General features: G+C 42.5%; 1 protein-coding gene across 3 annotated transcripts in view, besides 4 other annotated features; it reads right to left on the reverse strand.

The window, feature by feature from the left end:
* Window positions 1-18,087, reverse strand: part of FEZ2 (fasciculation and elongation protein zeta 2) — a 45,911-nt gene extending 27,824 nt beyond the window's left edge. For all 3 annotated transcript variants that reach the window (XR_244972.4, NM_005102.3, NM_001042548.2), the window contains exons 1-4: window positions 17,796-18,087; window positions 10,822-10,930; window positions 3,272-3,388; window positions 1,209-1,350 (exon numbers count right to left, since the gene is read on the reverse strand). Coding sequence is in view for 2 of the 3 variants with exons in the window: in NM_005102.3 (NP_005093.2) it covers window positions 1,209-1,350; window positions 3,272-3,388; window positions 10,822-10,930; window positions 17,796-18,061 (634 nt within the window). In the remaining variant the exon portion in view is untranslated. The remainder of the gene's footprint in view (window positions 1-1,208; window positions 1,351-3,271; window positions 3,389-10,821; window positions 10,931-17,795) is intronic.
* Window positions 17,228-18,155: an enhancer, noted in NCBI's record as "H3K27ac hESC enhancer chr2:36824452-36825379 (GRCh37/hg19 assembly coordinates)". NCBI's record gives its function as "activates a minimal SCP1, AML or CMV promoter by ChIP-STARR-seq in primed H9 embryonic stem cells {active_cell/tissue: H9 hESC(primed)}" and the evidence as "EXISTENCE:reporter gene assay evidence [ECO:0000049][PMID:30033119]".
* Window positions 17,536-17,895: a silencer, noted in NCBI's record as "silent region_11350". NCBI's record gives its function as "represses an Ori minimal core promoter by ATAC-STARR-seq in GM12878 lymphoblastoid cells {active_cell/tissue: GM12878}" and the evidence as "EXISTENCE:reporter gene assay evidence [ECO:0000049][PMID:35858748]".
* Window positions 17,936-18,155: a silencer, noted in NCBI's record as "silent region_11351". NCBI's record gives its function as "represses an Ori minimal core promoter by ATAC-STARR-seq in GM12878 lymphoblastoid cells {active_cell/tissue: GM12878}" and the evidence as "EXISTENCE:reporter gene assay evidence [ECO:0000049][PMID:35858748]".
* Window positions 18,156-19,082: an enhancer, noted in NCBI's record as "H3K27ac hESC enhancer chr2:36825380-36826306 (GRCh37/hg19 assembly coordinates)". NCBI's record gives its function as "activates a minimal SCP1, AML or CMV promoter by ChIP-STARR-seq in primed H9 embryonic stem cells {active_cell/tissue: H9 hESC(primed)}" and the evidence as "EXISTENCE:reporter gene assay evidence [ECO:0000049][PMID:30033119]".

Below are 19,421 nucleotides of genomic sequence, written 5' to 3' on the forward strand. Positions count from 1 at the left end.
ATCTCAGACTTCTGGCCTCCAGAACTATAGAATATAAATTCCTGTTGTTTAAGCCACCCACTCTGTGGTACTTTGTTCTGGCAGCCCTAGCAAACCAATACAGATTTTAGTATCTGTATCAGGTATCAGGACTGTATTTGGGAGTCAGGACGTTAACACTGTTTAGCCCATACCTACAGGAACATGGCCAAATCAGACCATCTGAAAGAATTTGGTCTGTCTGACCATCTGTATGTTGAAGCCATACAACCCAAAGGTCTTTAGGTAACTAAGCTTTGGACTGGGCATGCCATAAAGATAAAACTAGGTGACAACACGAGTTGAGCAGATACAGACCCCATCAGTGCCTATTCAAGGAAGGGACCAGTCATATGGCAATGATTAGATACACACCTTCCAACCAGCCTCAGGCTGTTCACAGGCTGGTTATATTTATTCAGACATTTTTCATGAAAATCAACTGTAGAGTTTCTAGAGTTCATTATTCTCACATATGTCAAACAGATCCATGGTTCCCAAAATTCTTCATAGTAACACACAAGACTATTTGTACAAACAGGAATTGCATTTGACAAATAATTACTGAATATCTATTCTACACTTCAAATATGATGGGGTTTCTTATAGACTCAATTGTGTCCTCCCCAAAATTCATGTGTTGAAGTCCTAACCCCAAGTACCTCAGAATGTTACAGTATATGGTCTTTAAAGAGGTAATTACATTAAAATAAGGTCATTAGGATAGACCCTAATCCAATATGATTGCTGTCCTTGTAAGAGGAAATTTGGGGCCAGGCAATGGTGGCTCACGCCTGTAACTGCAGCACTTTGGGAGGCTAAGGCGGGCGGATCATGAGGTCAGGAGTTCGAGACCAGCCTGGCCAACATGACGAAACCCCGTCTCTACTAAAAATGTAAAAATTAGCCAGGCGTGGTGGCGGGCACCTGTAATCCTAGCTACTTGGGAGGCTGAGGCAGAATTGCTTGAACCCGGGAGGCACAGGTTGCAGTGAGCTGAAATCATGCCACTTCATTCCAGCTTGGGCCAAAAAGTGAAATCCCGTCTCAACAACAACAACAAAAATGTAAATTTGGACACAAACACAAACAGAAGGAGGATGAAATCAAAGCTTTCTGGAGATGATCATACTATACATTTGATACAGACAAAAAGCACAGAAATCATTGATTTCAGCAGGCTCCCTTACTCTCTTCATAACTGCCGGTACTAGACCTCTTGAGAGTTTGAATTTCCTGGGAAAGCATTGAAAGCCGATCTGACTGTGTAGGGGTTTCATCATCTTCTGGGTCCGGTGATTCCTGCATCATTTCTTCAATTTCTTCAATAACCTTCGAAAACACACACACCACTGTTAATCAAATATACAAAAGGAAAATGATCTATCTGGAACACAGTGCTCACCTAAGGCACCCAGAGCAGAAATGCACTGAATTCTCCATTAACCAATGGTGTTCAGGTGTGGATGCTCCAAATAATCAAAATTTTTACTGTAGGAGTGAACATGGTTTATCAAGAAAAAATTACAATATACTAAACACAAACCTAAATAGAATTGGATTTACTACGTCCATCATGATTCAGAAGGCCCTAACATGTCTTGCAAAGTCTAGGTAATCGTGCTACAAACACATAATAATTTACTTCAGACACACCAGAGCTAGATCATACAGTAATCGTTAGAAGAAAGCAAATAACAGAAAATTTACCATAGACATACAAGTGCTCAATTTAAAGGTATCTCATCAAAAATTCTGACATAAAATTTATAAAATACAATAGCACAAAAAAAGTATATATAAATGGGAAATTACCTCTATGACAGCAAAATATTCTTTCAACAGCAGAAAAATAATTTTATATATTAATTCAACGAAAAAAAGGGATTTTTTAAATTACTCAAAAAGTAGAAGTCCAAAGAGAAAAATGCTGTGAAAAGCAGAAAAACTTCAGAAATACATTTGACTTTAAACAATGATCTACTGTCTAGTGCAGTGCTGCTCAAATCTTACAACAGTATCTTGCCCTTTTCCAGATTCTAAAAGTTGAGAAGGATATAGAACTCAGCGAAAATGTAAAGGAAACCCAGGAAAATTACTCAATAGTTAGAAAAAAGGACCTAAAGTTAAAAAAAAAAATTAAACACAATTAAATGAAGGAGTAAGACATCATGAGCATATTTCCATGCTTTATGAATTAACAAGCTTAACAGGTAAGATTTCCACCAAGGAAAAACAAAGGCAAATCTGAAGGAGATGGGATTATGTTAATTATAAGAAGAGTCTCCAAAACAGGAAATATAATAAGGTACAATGAGCCACTCAAGGATCCTACAGAATCTGTTATTCTAACTCTTAAAAAAAGGGAGAGTTTACGGTATTAGGCAGGTCAGTGAGGGGACAATGAATTCTCAAGGTCATGTCTATCCCTAGATTACCCTCTACCTCAAAACAACCTTCCAACCTACTATTACCTTGCTTTTTTAAGCACCACATTCTTCCCACGCCTAGAACAATTCAACCACAAATATGACTAAGGAGGATCCAAATAACACAATTTTAATGTAAATTTTTAATGTACTCCTCCCAAGCTTGCCATAATGTATCTCCTTACTGATCTCATCTTTCCAGCCTAAAAATAGAGTGTGGTAGAACTCACAGTCCGAGTAGCCATGGAACATTTTATTTCAGGAAGAAGTTCTGGCATCACATTTCAACAATACAACAGAGGTGGGAAGAGTATTCAGAAAATGAGAAAGCTGATTCGACTGGTTTTAAGTGAATACAGGGTTGACCTTATTAGCGCATTCCACGGGAATAATGCTCACTTCTTTCTGGGGCACACAATATGTTACTTTAATACATGCTAATGCTTTTTACCCAGGGTTTTGAAGATACTAAATAATTTCTACACAGATACTTTACAGTTTGTCCGTGTTTGGGTAAATCTAAAGAAACAAGGAAATTCACAATATTTTTCTGGTTTGGGGTTAAGCAACAACCTTTCCTTGGTACCTTGCTATAATCTTCAACAAGGCCTCTGTTGGAAACCTTCCCAACTAACATAATCCCTTCTGCTTCAGATCACAAATACTTATTTTTCTCTGTGGAAGAGTTAACTATTAAGCCTGTATAACCAGAAAAAAATAGGAAAGATAAGTAAACCAACAGCCATCATTTACTGTCATAACAAGAAGCCGTTTTTCAGCTCTAGAGTCTCCTTTCCTTGCGTTGCTGAGGATCTCCTCTATACCTGGTCTGCCGTGAAGAGGGGTTCATCATTAACACAGGAGACGATGATTGAGTGCATATCCAGCTGTTCTCTCAGCTCTTCATCATCTGATGTATCAAAGAGCAAACTGTCACTTACCTAAAAACAAAAATACCCATCATTAAAAGCAGGACATCCTCATCAAAACAAAGTTAACAGCTCTGAGTAAAAGAGGCTGCAGAGAAAAGCAACTACTAAGAGCCTTCCCTCAAGAGGGAGAAATTATTACAATCACTCTGTACCAGGCAATGAGTATATATTCATCTTGAACAGAAATGAGAAGAATGTAGAATAAATATGAAATCACTGAGATGCTGCATAAGACTGCTATAAAAGCTGACAGATATGCAGAAAAAAATACGGTATTCATTAGCAAGTCATAGGGAATTACAGTGAATAGAAGGGAGAATATGGGCAGGGTTAGCAACACACACTAAGATTGGTAGACGTTAACATTCTAAAGAAAACATAAAAGTTAGTTACTTGCAAACTAACTTCTAATATCTGAGTAAAAGATGATCAACTCCCTGAAAGGCGGGATCTGTCCATGAGCGTCACACTTAGCCCTTCCAATTGCACATTCCTTCTTAACAAAAAATAATAACCCTAGGTTCCAAAAACATCTTTAAACCTAACTAAGCTGGTGATTCACCACTCACCTCCTCACCATCTTCCACCCTGCTCTGCGCTCCAGGAGGACGACCTTTATGGAAGACATCAAAGGATGCCCTTGCTGTCTGGCTTCCAGGTGGGTTAAACCCCATTGGCAGACACTGGCAGACTGGAAGGTGGGATGGTGAAGGCTGGGCATGTATTTTGCTGTCTTCCTCCCTGTCAGACTGTCATTTGTTGACTATGGCTCTTCACCAAAGCCATAGCTCTGATTAGCAGACTTCTCCCACAAGGCCAATCTCAACAGTTTATGGTAATTTCTCCCTCTCCTTACCTCTTCATGCCCAGGACTGCTAAAGTACCAGTTTCTGTTGCCAGCCCTGGGGGATTGCACCACATCAAGTTTGTTTCCCTTAACCCTGCCCACACCAATATAAACAGCCTTAGAGTTTAGTACCAGTACTGATTGTAAAAACTTTGCCTGAAAAAACTCAGCAGATTAAAATGAACAAGGGAACATCTGTCTATCATCTACCTATCTGTCATGACATGACTATTCAGGTGTTGAATGGAACTGAAACTAGAACTCTATTCCTCAGGAAGGATTAGCACACACTGAGTTTCCAAAGAATAAATGGGCAACAAGGATTACGTAAGAAGCCACCATGTCATTCTATTACATAGTGTAGAACTAACATGATAAAATTTTACCTGGCAAAATTATTTATCCATGCAGAGGATATATGTCTAAAGCTGAGGACACAATGGAATGGATGTAGGTTCCTACTGCTTCCCTAGTTCTTCATAACATGAGCATCTGAAGTTTGCAGGTGAACACAGCCTACAGAGTAAGAAACCTGCACGTGAGAAGGGCCAAGGGAAGAAGCACTGGCACACTGACTTTCCAACATTAGGCTGGGAGAAGGGCCCCATCAACACTGCACGGTCCACCTACAACCCTATAATGCAACTCCAGGCTCCTGCGCAGTGACGACAGCCCTTCTCATTTTATTTCTTACTGCACCATCAGCCTAGCAAAGGCCTGGCCATGACCTTCAACACAGCATCATGAACTAAGAACACTGTGTGGAAAAAAGGAGAATCTAAAAGCTTCCAGGGAGGGAAAAAAAAATCACATTAAAAGGATCAGGAATCAAAATGTCAAGTGAATTCTCAATAGCAACAATAGATGCTAGAAAATAATCGATGTAACTTCCATGTTTGGAGAAATTCCATCCTAGAATCCTATATCCAGCTAAAACAAGTAGGCAGGGGCTAGGATAAAGACATTTTCAGACATACAAGTTCTGAAAAAATTTACCTCTCATGTGCCCTTTCTCAAAAAGCTACCAGGAGGAAAATGAAAAAGAAAAAAGATATGTGGTCTAATAACAAGTGACAAAGAGAATTCTCGTAATGATAGTAAAGTGAAAATCCCAGAATGATGACTGTAAAGCTACACTAGAGAGTAACATTCAGATTAGAATTTTTATTGCAGAGAGCATGGAGAAGAGGGAGAGGTGGGTGGGGAGGGAGAGCAGAAGGACTAGATAGATTACCTAGTGCGGTCCATTTACTAAAATGAGTTCTACGGCTCTATTGAGGCTGAACTGGTCAGCTAATTATAAACTAAATAAACCACAAAAAGGCAGGTAGTATCCTAAGAAAAAACCTAAGTAGAAAAAGAGAAAATGTAAACATAATATATCATAATGGGTCAACTGTGCACATTTAAATAGTAAATATAAATGATGAAGATTAATTCAACCCCAGATGTTATGTAATTACATTGGGAAGATGGGGAAAGGGAAGTTTTTGGGAGGGTATAGTGTCAGGGATTGGCAAAGGACAGAAGAGAGCTAAACCTTCACCCTCTGGGTAGAAAATAAATAAAGTCTAAAATTGAGAAAATAATATCAAGTAAAATGGCATGAGCATGTTATCTGCTAAAAGAAATAGCTGATATCATTTAAAGTGGCCACCTCTGGTAAGGAGAAATCAAGTGGAGCAGAGACTGCCTTTTCATTTAAGTCCTATAGTTCTAATTTACTTTTTAAACTATGACAGCTGTTCCTTTAATAATTTAATTTTTTAAAGAAGGAGAAAGATCAAGAGACTAGGCTCTTGATGAGAGGGGATGTATGATTTCTATACTGTAGAAGATGAAAATGTGGCACACTGTGATCACAAAGGCATGTCGATACCATGGAGTAGACCTACCGATTAGTTTCATCGATCCTTACACTTCGAACACTTCACACCCCCTTCCCAATCACTCTTCCTATGTTGCAACTTGAGGACCATGATTTTGTTTTATTTTTCCCCTTCTGGCTTATAAATACTAAAAGTTTTAATTTTAAAATTAATCCGGGGTGGGCACAGTGGCTCATGCCTGTAATCCCAGCACTTTGGGAGGCTGAGGCGGGTGGATTGCTTGAGCTCAGGAGTTTGAGAACAGCCTGGGAAACATGGTGAAACCCCATTGCTACAAAAAATTAGCCAGGCATGATGGCACATGCCTGTAGTCCCAGCTATTCAGGAGGCTGAGGTGGGAGGATCACTTGAGCCCAGGAGGTGGAGGTTGCAGTGAGCCAAGATGGTGCCACTGCGCTCCAGCCTGGACAACAGAGCCAGACCATGTCTCAAAAAAAAAAAAAAAAATTACTCCTAAGGAAGCCCAGGTTGCCATGGCTCACACCTGTAATCCCAACACTTTGGGAGGCCAAGGTGGGAGGATCTCCTGAGGTCAGGACATCAAGACCACCCTGAGCAACACAGGAAGACCTCGTCTCTACAGAAATATATTTTCTTAAAATTAGCCAGGCATGGCGGTACTCGTGTGTAGTCTAGCTACTCAGGAAGCTGGAGCGGGAAGATCGCTTAAGCCCAGGAGTTGGAGGCTGCAGTAAGCTATGATGGCGCCACTGTACTCCAGCCTGGGCAACAGAGGGAGACACTCTCTCAATCTATCAATCAATCAAATTGCTTCTGTGGAAGACATTATCTTTTTCTTATTTCTACTCTTAAAGGTATAAAGATGCATACAAAAGTCCCTGTCCTGAAAGAAATGCACATGGAAGGAGAAATACAGCACAGAAGATGTTCTTAAGCTGAAATGAATGATAAGCATTCTATCATATAAGTATATTCAAGAATGGCACCAGATTTAGAATAGGGTTATGGCCAAAACACATGAGTAATAACAGTAAACTATTATAATAAATTTCCATGACAACAGAAATGATCCCAGATCATCTTTCCAGAGAGAGAGCCAAGTCCATTCCCCACAGAGATGGCATATGCTAAGAGCTGGAATATCTTTCAGGCTTTGCAAACTAGCCCTGGCTGTCATGGGTATCATTATTCACTCCTCCCTTCAGCATTAAATGTGCCTTCTCTTTGCCAAGCATTCCCATCACTCCTTCCAATGCCAGGGTTAGATACAGACCTGGTGGTACTGTTTCCCTGTATAAAACTGAAGATACATCAAATGGAAAAAATGTGCCCACGTAAGAATTTGAAAGATACCAGTTGCCTTACTCTAAAAAAGACATATCAAATTTAGAAGTGTGCCATCTTAATCTTCAATCAAAGAAAAATTTAAAACTGCAATCTAGCAAACTAGTTTTCCTGAATGTTTTTCTCTTTTTAATGCAAAAACCATTCTTCTTTTGTCAAAAAAAATTTCTATACACTTGGTTTTATAAGTAAAATAATCTAAAGAATGCTTTCAAAGGGTAAATTTTACATAGCTTAGTCACGGCACGAACAGAGCACCAGGTGGCAATGGTAAATACAGTCACTTTGCCAGATTAAAAAAAAAATGCTTAATTATATACCATGTAATAGAATGACGTGATGACTTCTTACATAGTCCTTATTGCCCATTTGTTTTTCAGAAACTCAGTGTGTGCTAATCCTCCCTGAGAAACAGAGTTCTGATTTCAATTCTATTCATCACCAGAATAGTCATGTCACAACAGAGAGATGATAGGTGAATGATCACGTGTTCACTTTCATCTGCTGAGTTTTTCCAGGTAAGGCTGTTTTTTTTTTTATTTTTTGAGACAGAGTCTCGCTCTGTCACCCAGGCTGGAGTGCAGTGGCGTGATCTCGGCGCACTGCAACCTCTGCCTCCCAGGTTCAAGCAATTCTCCTGCCTCAGCCTCCCAAGTATCTGGGATTACAGGCATGCGCCACCACGCCTGGCTAATTTTGTATTTTTAGTAGAGACGGGGTTTCACCGTGTTGGTAAGGCTGGTCTCAAACTCCTGACCTTAGGTGATCCATCCACCTCAGCCTCCCAAAGTGCTGGGATTACAGGCATGAGCCACCGCGCCCAGCCAGGTAAGGCTTTTTAATGTCAGTACTAGCATTAAACTCTACGTCATTACTAATCACTGCCTTGGCCATATCATTACCGTGGCATTGAAAATAACATTCAAAAGGCAGCAAAAGGGAGCAACCTCCCAAGATGCAATCTAAGAACAATACAAGACATACAGCAGTCCCTCGGTATCCAAGGGAAATTTGTTCCAGGACACCCCAATAGCAAAATCTGCAGATGCTCAAGTCCCTTATATAAAGTGGGGTAGTATTTGCATATAACCTGTGCACATCCCCCTATAAGCTTTAAATTATATGTAAATTACTTATAATACCTAATACAAGGTAAATGGTTTATAGTTATATTGTATATAACTATACAATATTTATATTATAAAGTTATATTGTATCGGTTTTCGGTTTTTTATTTTCATTATTTTCAATTGTTGTGTTGTTATTTTATTGTGGGGTTTTTTTTTCAAGTTTTTTAATCCACAGTTGGCTAAAGCAGCAGATGTGAAACCAGAGAATATGGTGGGCCCGCTGTACATTTAGTCAATGAAATTGGATTAAACTGTCTCACTCACGCTGCTAATGGGCCTGACTTTGAAACTATGAATGGAAACTCTTCTATGCTATTTTTTAATATGTCAAAAAAGTAGTACCCATGGACTGGTTTTGGTGCATTCTGCATTATTTTAAATAACATAGAAAATATTTTTTTAAAACCTTTCTATCACGATCTCTGGCCCTACAGTTTCACTGACAAGGCTATTCACTTATTCACTCAATAAAAAGGTATCTTCAAACTTACTATGTGCCAGGAACAGTATAGTTACTATAAAGACAAATACAAATACCTGCCGGGAAGTCACAATCTAGTGACAGACCCAGAAACATATGATTAACAAGAGAAGGCAGTGGTAATTTTAGAGACAGGGACAAAGTGATCTGGGGACTAGCACCCATGAGACAGCAAGGCTAAACCCCGTGGCACAGATAACAAGTCCTTTCAAAGTTCACAACCCCACAAGTGCCATCAGTTCCCCTAGAGGGGAGTGTGTTTTCCTTCCGTGCAGGAATTTAGGCCATGGCTAAATGACCATCTGTCAGAGATGCTGGAGGTGAGGATTCCCCCCAAGTGAGAGGCTGGATTAAGTGTCCTTTAAAGCCCCTTCCAACTCTAAAATTGTATAATTCCATGAGATCAGCAAAGGCTAAAACAGTAATAGGAAGCTTCAGAGAGGAAGGGAAACTTGAACTAAGCCCAAAATGATAGCCAGGACCTAAGTAAACAAGACAGAGCAAAAGATCCCTCATTTTATTCCTTTTCATTAAATATATGCCAGGTCAGTCTGCAAAGCTTAATGGGATTAATGACTGGCACAGTCAGGAAGATTTCCATAGCTACTGAATACTGGGAAATACAGCCAGAATTCTACATTTTACTAGAAAATAATAACAGTAGGCTTTTCTGATCACATATGTAAGAAAATCCTTTTAACAAAACATTAACAATACTATGTAAAATAGTGACAGGCCTACTGCACTATATTCTCAATAATCACATAATTACACTTAATGAAATATAGAGCACGCAAGAAGATCTGGCATGAGTTTACATTATTATTTGATAAGGAACTTAAACAGCCAGGCCCTGAAACTTAGATAATTTGGATATGTTTCTCATCAGATTTAAAAAAGCTTAACACTGTGATTTTCCATTTCAAGTAATTCTCAACCCTTTTCTGCCTCCCTACCTGTCCCACCACTCGTGCTCACACTTCTTAGTCAAGACATCTTCACTTTACAATACCAGGATGTACACAGGAGACCCCAAGAAAGGTAAGTTAGCCAAGACCGTATTTTAAAAGCCAAGAACTAAAATATCTTTTAAAGGTTCTCCAGTATTCACAGGAATACACAGTCTCCTGACAACATATCATGTCTAGCAGGTCACTACACTCATTAAAAAGTTAACTCCGTGTTGAGATTCCAATACTCTCAGTATATTAAACCAAAGGCTAGCATTTTTACTGAGGGTTTCAGTGCACCAAATTTTACTGAGTGTTTCAGTGCATCATCACTGCCAGGTGCAGTGGCTCACACCTGTAATCCCAGCACTCTGGGAGGTGAATTACCTGAGGTCAGGAGTTCGAGACCAGCCTGGCCAACACAGCGAAACCCTGTCTCTACTGAAAATACAAAAATTAGCCGGGACTGGTGGCTCATGCCTGTAATCCCAGCTACTCGGGAGTTTGAGGTGGGAGAATCGCTTGAACCCAGGAGGCAGAGGTTGTAGTAAGCCACTGTACTCCAGCCTGGGCAACAGAGTGAGACTCCGTCAAAAAAAAAAAAATTGTGATGGAAATTTAGCTACACATAAAAAATGAGTGTGCTGGAGAAGAACTGGAGGAATGTGCCAGCAAGGTGATGGCCCTACAGCCAAGACATCAAGACAGAGCCACCCAAACTGCTATAATTTCAGAAATGAGAGGCAGGTCAGTGAATCTGTGTTAAGCAGAAATGCTACTGTTTTAGTTCTATTATCAGCATCAGTTATTCAAACACTATTGGTTCAATTCCTAACTTACCCCTTTTTCTGAGAGGTTCAGAGTAAGCAAGTGCAAGGTCCTAGTATGCGATGACTTCCAGTCTACAGGCATCACATTCCCATAATTATCTGTCAGGGCATTCCAAATCCTTAAAAAGAAGAAAGCTACAATCAATGAAAATTAACATTCTGTATGTCTTTCTTAAACAAATATTCAGTGAAAGATGAACAGCAAATGTCAAAGGAAACAGAGAAAAACAGACAGCACATTGTTTCTCAGAAAAACATCAACAAAGTAGAGTCTCCTAAACAAAAACGAGGTGAAAAATCACATAACTGGGCTGACAAGAAGTCCTAAGGGAAGGTGAAGCCGTACAGAAAACTGCCAATAGGCAGTAGGCAACACTTCCATTATATTAGGTGCTAGGCACTGTTCTAAGCAATTTACATGTATTAACTCATGTAATCTTCAAAAACAACATTAGAAGGGGGAACCATTATTAACCTCATTTTACAGATGAAGAAACTGAAACACAGGGCGGGGAAGAAATGTTTCCAGGGTCACATGAATAATAAATACAACTGTGCATTACACTTATTTTTCTTCTGTAACTTCAAACAAACAGACCATTTCAAAAAGTGAAAAATCTCTCTCAAACAAAAGGTTTGTTATCCTTTCTGGAGAAAGAATTCGCTCTCAATGTGAGAACAGGATTTAATATCTAATTTGTAATAAAGAAGCTAAGCACTAAGGCAGATACAACAAAAAGGAGAAAGAGAGGGAGTTCACAATAAAACACACCCAGGCTCTATCCAATGCAGTTACCTGACCTTATTACCCAACAGCATTACAGGGAGGCAAGAGGGTCAAATGGTAAGGGCATTTGACTGAGACTAGGGAAACAAACTCTCATCTCCATCCTTCTTCAAATAACGAGTCATTGGCCAGGCCCCTTAACCTCCCTAGGTATCCTCTGCCCTTCTATAAATGAGAGACCTGGACAAGAAGCAGATACTCCTTCCAGCTCCATTACTCTAAGCATTAATTCAAATGAGGTGTATTGAAGAGAGTCCCAAACCACACCAGATAAGAACACCAAACTCAAATTTCACAACCAAAATTCAGGTTTCAATACCAAAGTAATAATCAGCACAATAAAACATGATGTTTTATGAAAAACTAAAGTTCAGAGATACAAGTGACTTGAAATCTAATTGGGATACGTAAAATCAAACACTAAACATACAAGCTACTTACTAGCTAGAGGTATACACAAAGATGTCATGTAGAAAAAAACACCCTAAAATGTTTATTAGGTATCTAATTGTGAATAAGCAATAGGCTTTCTTTCCAAGTGTGTAAGACACTAGGATACAAAAACAATCCTGGCTGGGGCATAAACATAAGAATGAATTTTTTTTTTAAGTTCCGGGGTACATGGGCAGGATGTGCAGGTTTGTTACACAGGCAAACATGTGCCATGGTGATTTGCTGCACCTATCAACCCATCACCTAGGTATTAAGCCCAAGAATGAAAATTTTAAAATACAGACATAACATAGTTAACAAATAGGGATTGGGCGCTAAAAAGAAGCAATAGGACTGCAACGGCTAAAAGCATAACATCCCAAATGATGTTTGGCTTTAAAATGCACGTTAGGGATGGGCCTGGTGGCTCATGCCTGTAATCCCAGCATTTTGGGAAGCCAAAGTGGGAGGATTGCTTGAAGCCAGGAGTTCAAGACCAGCCTGGGCAACAAAAGGGAGCCCCACATCTCTACAAAAAAAAAAAAAAAAAAAAAATTGGCCAGGCCTGTGGCATGTGCCGCAGTCCCAGCTACTTTTGGAGGGTAAGGCAGGAGGACTGCTTAAGCCCAGGAGCTCAAGGCTGTAGTGAGCTATGATGGCACCACTGTACTCCAGCCTGGGAGACAGAGCAAGACCCTGTCTCTAAAAATATATAAATAAAATAAAAAATAAAATTAGCCTTAATAAAAATGTGAACCCAAAAATCTCTAGAGAACTAACTCATCTACCCAGCAAAGCTCCCATATGCACAGTCCATTCCTATTCTCCTCTCTGTTGGAATATCTCCTCTAATGCCAGTGAAGTAGAATTAGAGGCAATGTCTGTGGACTACTAAATTTGCTGGGTTTCTGTGGACTACTAAACTTGCTGGGTTTCTGGCTCATACCTTCCTGGATAAGAAATTTTCAAACACTGAATGACTGTATAGTCCATTTTCATGCAGCTGATAAAGACATACCCAAGACTGGGACGAAAAAGAGGTTTAATTGGACTTACAGTTCCACATGGCTGAGGAGGCCTCAGAATCATGGTGGGAGACAAAAGGCACTTCTTACATGGTGGCAGCAAGAGAAAAGGAGGAAGATGCAAAAGCAGAAACCCCTGATAAACTCATGGACAGCGGCCCTCTTCTCACAACCCCACTAGGCAGTGCCCCAGTAGGGACTCTGTGTGGGGGCTCCAACCCCACATTTCCCTTCCACACTGCCCTAGCAGAGGTTCTCCATGAGGGCCCTGCCCCTGCAACAAACTTTTGCCTGGGCATCCAGGCATTTCCATACATCTTCTGAATCTAGAAGGAGGTTCCCAAACCTCAATTCTTGACTTCTGTGCACCTGTGGGCTCAACACCACATGGAAGCTGCCAAGGCTTGGGGCTTGCACCCTCTGAAGCCACAGCCTGAGCTGTACTCTCGCCCCTTTCAGCCACAGCTGGAGCAGCTGGTACACAGGGCACCAAGTCCCTAGGCCGCATACAGCAGGCAGACCCTAGGCCCAGCTCACGAAACCACTTGTTCCTTTTTGGGCCTCCAGGCCTGTGATGGGAGGAGCTGCCATGAAGGTCTCTGACATGGCCTGGAGACATTTTCCCCATGGTCGTGGGGATTAACATTAGGGTCCTTGCTACTTACGCAAATTTCTGCAGCTAGCTTGAATTTCTCCCCAGAAAATGGGTTTTTTTTTTTTCTATCGCATAGTCAGGCTGCAAATTTTCCAAACTTTTATGCTCTGCTTCCCTTATAAAACTGAATACGTTTAATAGCACCCAAGTTACCTCCTGAATGCTTTACTGCTTAGAAATTTTTTCTGCCAGATACCCTAACTCATCTCCCTCAAGTTCAAAGTTCCACAAATCTCTAGGGCAGGGGCAAAATGCCACCAGTTCTCTTTGCCAAAACATAACAAGGGTCATCTTTGCTCCAGTTCCCAACAACTTCCTCATCTCCATCTGAGACCACCTCAGCCTGGATTTTATTGTCCATATTGCTGTCAGCATTTTGGGAAAGCCATTCAACAAGTCTCTAGGAAGTTCCAAACTTTCCCACATTTTCCTGTCTTCTGAGCCCTTCAAACTATTCCAATCTCTACCTGTTCCCCAGTTCCAAAGTCATTTCCACATTTTCAGGTATCTTTTCAGCAACGCCCCACTCTACTGGTACTAACTTACTATATTAGGTTATTTTCATGCAGCTGATAAAGACATACCCGAGACTGGGAAGAAAACGAGGTTTAATTGGACTTACAGTTCCACATGGCTGGGGAGGCCTCAGAATCATGGCAGGAGGCAAAAGGCACTTCTTACATGGCGGCAGCAAGGGAAAATGAGGAAGGAGCAAAAGCGGAAACCCCTGATAAGCCCATCAGATCTTGTAAGACTTATTCACTATCATGAGAATAGCATAGGAAAGACCAGCCCCCATGATTCAATTACCTCCCCCTGGATCCCTCCCACAACACGTGGGAATTCTGGGAGATACAATTCAAGTTGAGATTTGGGTGGGGACACAGCCAAACCGTATCACTGACTATAGACCTAATCCTGGCAGGAATTTAAGCAGGATACACTAGCAGGTGAAGACAGTCCAGAATTTGAGGAGTTTGCTTTGTCTGCTGATTTGCTCCTTCTTAAACAAGGCTATAAGAAAAAGGCAAATGGGATGGAATATTTCACTTAGAAGTGCCTGTCAGTGAGTTTGATCTTCCAAGAAAATGAAAGCCAACTAACAGTCTCCACCAAGGTCAAAACAATGGTAGTTGGAAGGACACAGAGGCAACTCTAGTGAAAGATTTCTAGAATTCTGCAGTCAAGACATATGAACTGCCTTCATCTTTATCACCAAGTATTACAACCAGTCGTAAACAACGGTCAGGACAGCTCTTTTGCAAGGAGGTCAAAGTCCTGCCAACATCGAATCCTGCAGAATACTCTTATAAGTAAAACCTCAGTACGTAAATACAATCCATATTTAACCAAAACAAAAGCTGAGGCTCAGAGAAGTTAAATGAAGTGCCAAGGGTCGGGGAGGGCTTTGGGGTGATTCAAGCACATTACATTTACGGTGTACTTTATTTCTATTATTACACTGTCATATATCATGAAATAATTTTACAACTCACCATAACGTAGAATCAATGGGAGCCCTGAGCTTGTTTTCCTGCAACTAGATGGTCCTATCTGGGGGAGAGGGGAAACAGTGACAGATCATCAAGCATTAGATTCTCATAAGGTGTCTGCAAACTAGAACCCTCACTTGTGCAGTTCACAATAGGGTTCACGCTCCTATGAGAATCTAATGCCGTGGCTGATCTGACAGGAGGTGGCTCAGGTGGTAATGCAAGCAATGGGGAGGAGCTGTAAATACAGATGAGGCTTTGCTCACTCACTCAGCCACTCACCTCCTGTAGTGTGGCCCAGTTCCAGTACCGGTCTGTGGACCAGGGGTTGGGGACCCCTTGACCTAAAGCACAGCAATATCTGAGTAAAACAATTATCAATTATATCTAGTGAAAAGGGAACTGGAACAGACTATCAAGCAATGATGAGTATGTTTTTGCAATATAAAAGGGACAATGCCAGTGATGACCAGCTCCCAACTCCCGGAAAAAAAGAGATTTCATATGCATTCCCAAGTCAAGAGACATGCATTACCACCAACATATCATCTACTAAATACCATTAACAAGAGCGACAAAATATTTTTAAGCAAAGGCTAAAATAACCTACTCTCCTGACGGTCTAAGTGAAACAAAAACTCTTAACGATCTACGTACAATCCTCTAATTGATTTAAGTCAGCTACTCTTGAAAAACCCAAATACATAATACATCTACACTAATTTTTAAATCCAGAATGTGTCCTGGGTTTAGTGATTCAGAGTATCTAAATCTACATATACATAAAATTATCTTCTCTTTGGGAACAGGCTTCCAAAAATGTCATCTTTTGCTACTGACGGCATGCATGTGTGTATAAAATCCAATTATAAGTGTTTCCCTTCTCTACACCTGGGCAGAACACTGTACTGAGGAACCAATAAAAGGAGATGGTCTCCAAACACAGGTGGGCCTGCACCACTGCTCAGCCATGTTTACAGGCCCCACTCCCAAGGCTGTCTTTACAAGCTTCCTACCTTATTCCTGATAAATCTGTTTGTTTCACAAAGGAAAGGAGACAATCAGGCTGGAAACTCCTTTCCGTGCCCGTGACTCCTGTCCTGTCTCTCAAAAATTCTTCCCTAACCTCTAAGAGTCTCTCCATCCCATCAATGCTCTGAAAATCCATTCCTTCCCATGTCCTCATTTTTGAGACAAAGTCTCGCTCTGACACCCAGGCTGGAGTGCAGTTGTGCGATGATGGCTCACTGCAACCTTCGCCTCCAGGACTCAAGCAATCCTGCCATCTCAGCCTCCGGGCAGCTGGGTCCGTGGGACCACGGGCATGCGCCACCGGACTTCACTAATTTTTTTTTAATTTTTTTGTAAAGACCAGATTTCACGATATTGCCCAGTCTGGTCTCGAACTGCTGGAAGCAAGCCATCCTCCCACCACAGCCTCTCAAAGTGCTGGGATCACAGGTGTGAGCCACCGCGCCCAATCTTATTCCACTCATTTTACCTTCAGCCTCTCCGGAGGCTCCTCTCCCCCTATATACACAACATGCTCAAGTCCCTTTACTCTCACCATTCCTATTTACCATCTTTTGGGGGTAAAACCATGGTACCTAATTACAACTCTTACTTAACCAAATTATAATTGCGGCTCAGGTGGTTTAAAAAGTGCCCTCAGGAACTCTGCGCCTCACCTCTCCCAGCTGTGATAAAACCCCGTGAACCTCCTATCATTGCTCTTAGGTGATTCTGTAATTATTAATATTACTTGTGTATGCCTTGGTCTCCCCACCAGACCATGCGATCGTTACCATCAGTAAGCAGGGCCCTTCGTTTTCGTCTCTGTGGCGGCTCGCACTCTACCAGGGCTCCCGGGTGGGTCCCACAGATTCCTGTGCCCTAAATGCTGCCTCGCACGTTGGTACTTATGCACAGGCAATATACTCCACCTAGAACGTTAGACTTTTTTCCACCTGCCAGGCACACTCCCACTCATCAGTCAGATCTCGTTTGCACATTTCTTTATAAAGTCGTTCCTTACTCTCCCCAAGACACACGCTTTTAAGTCTCTCACATTTGGTACATATAACCATTGCAGCGCTAATTACATCCATACATGTATTTGTTTACAAATCTATCTCCCATCCTACGTTGTGTCCTAAGTGGGAGGGACAGTGCCCAGTCGTTTTGGTGTTCCCTGTGCGAAGCAGCGCCTGGCACTCAGCAGGTGCTTAATAAATGCGACTTGAGTGAATGAATGGCGACACACGTGCCCCAGGAGGTGCCCCAGGAGGTGCCGTCTCTAACTATGGGCTCTGCATGGGCGATTCCCTTCTAATACAAACGAGGGTTTGGTTTGCAGGAAGGAGGGCGGGAGGTACCGAGGCGGAGGTTTTCAGGGCTCGTGGCGGCGGGGGGCAGGGGATTTAAATTGCTGGGCGAGCCGAGGCCGACGGCCGGAGGAAGGAGGCGAGAGGGCGGGGACTCCCGCGTCCGGGCGGAAGGAGGGCGCAGGGAGGAGCTGCGGCCGTAGGGCTGCCGGTCGGGCGAGGGGTAGGGGAGGCTCCCGCCCACTCCCGGCCGGGGCCCCGCACTCACTCGTCCCCCTGCAGGAGGCTGCGCTCCGTGATGGGCCGCACGGCCGTCCTCGGGGGCTCGGCGCCCGGATCCGAGGGGCGGAAGCACAGGCTCAGCTTCTCCTCCAAGCTGCAGGCCGGGGCCGGGAAACCGTCGGCGCCCCCACCCGCCTCGGCCCCCGCCTCCGCCCCAGGCTCGGGGCTCGCGTTACAGTTCTCCTGGTCCAGGAGGCTCCGGGCCGGCTCCTGGAACTCATAGAAATCCTGCCAGTCCCCGTCCGCCGCCATCGCCGCCCGGAGCAGTCGCGCGCCCCGCCCAGGCCGGCCCAGCCCGCCCAGCCCGGCCCCGCCCCGGCCCGAAGCCCCGCCCCCGCCCGCTACCGTGCTGACAGATCCCAGGCTGTCCCAACCCTGGGTCTCCGGTGGCCTGAGTCTTCCTGGAGTTGAACGCGGTGCTACTAGAAAGCCAAGACCTTAACTGCCTTGAGTCACTTCCTATATTCTCTATCATTTAGGAATAACTTCCCTGTTAGCTTCCCTTATTAGCAACTTGGCCTAAATGTGGCTAAAATAAAGGACTTCTTTAAACTTACGACCTAATATCAGATTACGCCCCGAAAGTCGTTTTCCCCAAGGTAACCTGCTCCTTTCCTAACTTGCCAACCAGAATAACAGCCAGAGTCAATGGGAAATGTTTAGGTGGTACCGAAGTTCATTCCTCAAATATTTTACCTCTCACGTGCAAAGCACTGGCTAGATCCTGCAGAACATACAAAGATAATTATGCCAGTTAACATTTGCAAAGCACTTAGAGCAATGCCTAATAGTAGATACCCTATGTGTATGTTATAACTAATACATGGGTGCCCCATACACAGGGCTTACAATGTCGGAGTGATAAGAGTAACAAGAAATTGTTTAGACCTCATAAAAACTAAGTGTGATTGGGCGGTTCAGTTTTGCAAGATGAAAAGAGTTATGGAGATGGATGGTGGTGATGGTTCCACGACAGTGTTAATGTGCTGAATGCCACTGATCTATACACTTACAGATGGTTAAGATAGTAATTTTATGTTTATTTTACTACAATACAAAAAAATTGGAGTAGGCCAGGCGAGGTGGCTCACATCTATAATCCCAGCACTTTGGCAGGCCCAGGTGGACGGATCGCTTGAGGTCAGGAGTTCAAGACCAACCTGGCCAACATGGTAAAACCCCGTCTCTACTAAAAATACAAAATCTAGCTGTCAGGCCTCTGAGCCCAAGCCAAGCCATCGCATCCCGTGACTTGCACATATACACCCAGATGGCCTGAAGTAACTGAAGATCCACAAAAGAAGTAAAAATAGCCTTAAGGATGACATTCCACCATTGTGATTTGTTCCTGCCCCACCCTAACTGATCAATGTACTTTGTAATCTCCCCCACCCTTAAGAAGTTTCTTTGTAATTCTCCCCACCCTTGAGAATGTACTTTGTGAGATCCACCCCTGCCCGCAAAACATTGCTCTTAACTTCACCGCCTGACCCAAAACCTGTAAGAACTAATGATAATCCATCTCCCTTCGCTGACTCTCTTTTCGGACTCAGCCCGCCTGCATCCAGGTGAAATAAACAGCCGTGTTGCTCACACAAAGCCTGTTTGGTGG

This window comes from Homo sapiens, chromosome 2 (genome assembly GCF_000001405.40).
Source record: "Homo sapiens chromosome 2, GRCh38.p14 Primary Assembly".
NCBI classification, from domain to species: domain Eukaryota; kingdom Metazoa; phylum Chordata; class Mammalia; order Primates; family Hominidae; genus Homo; species Homo sapiens.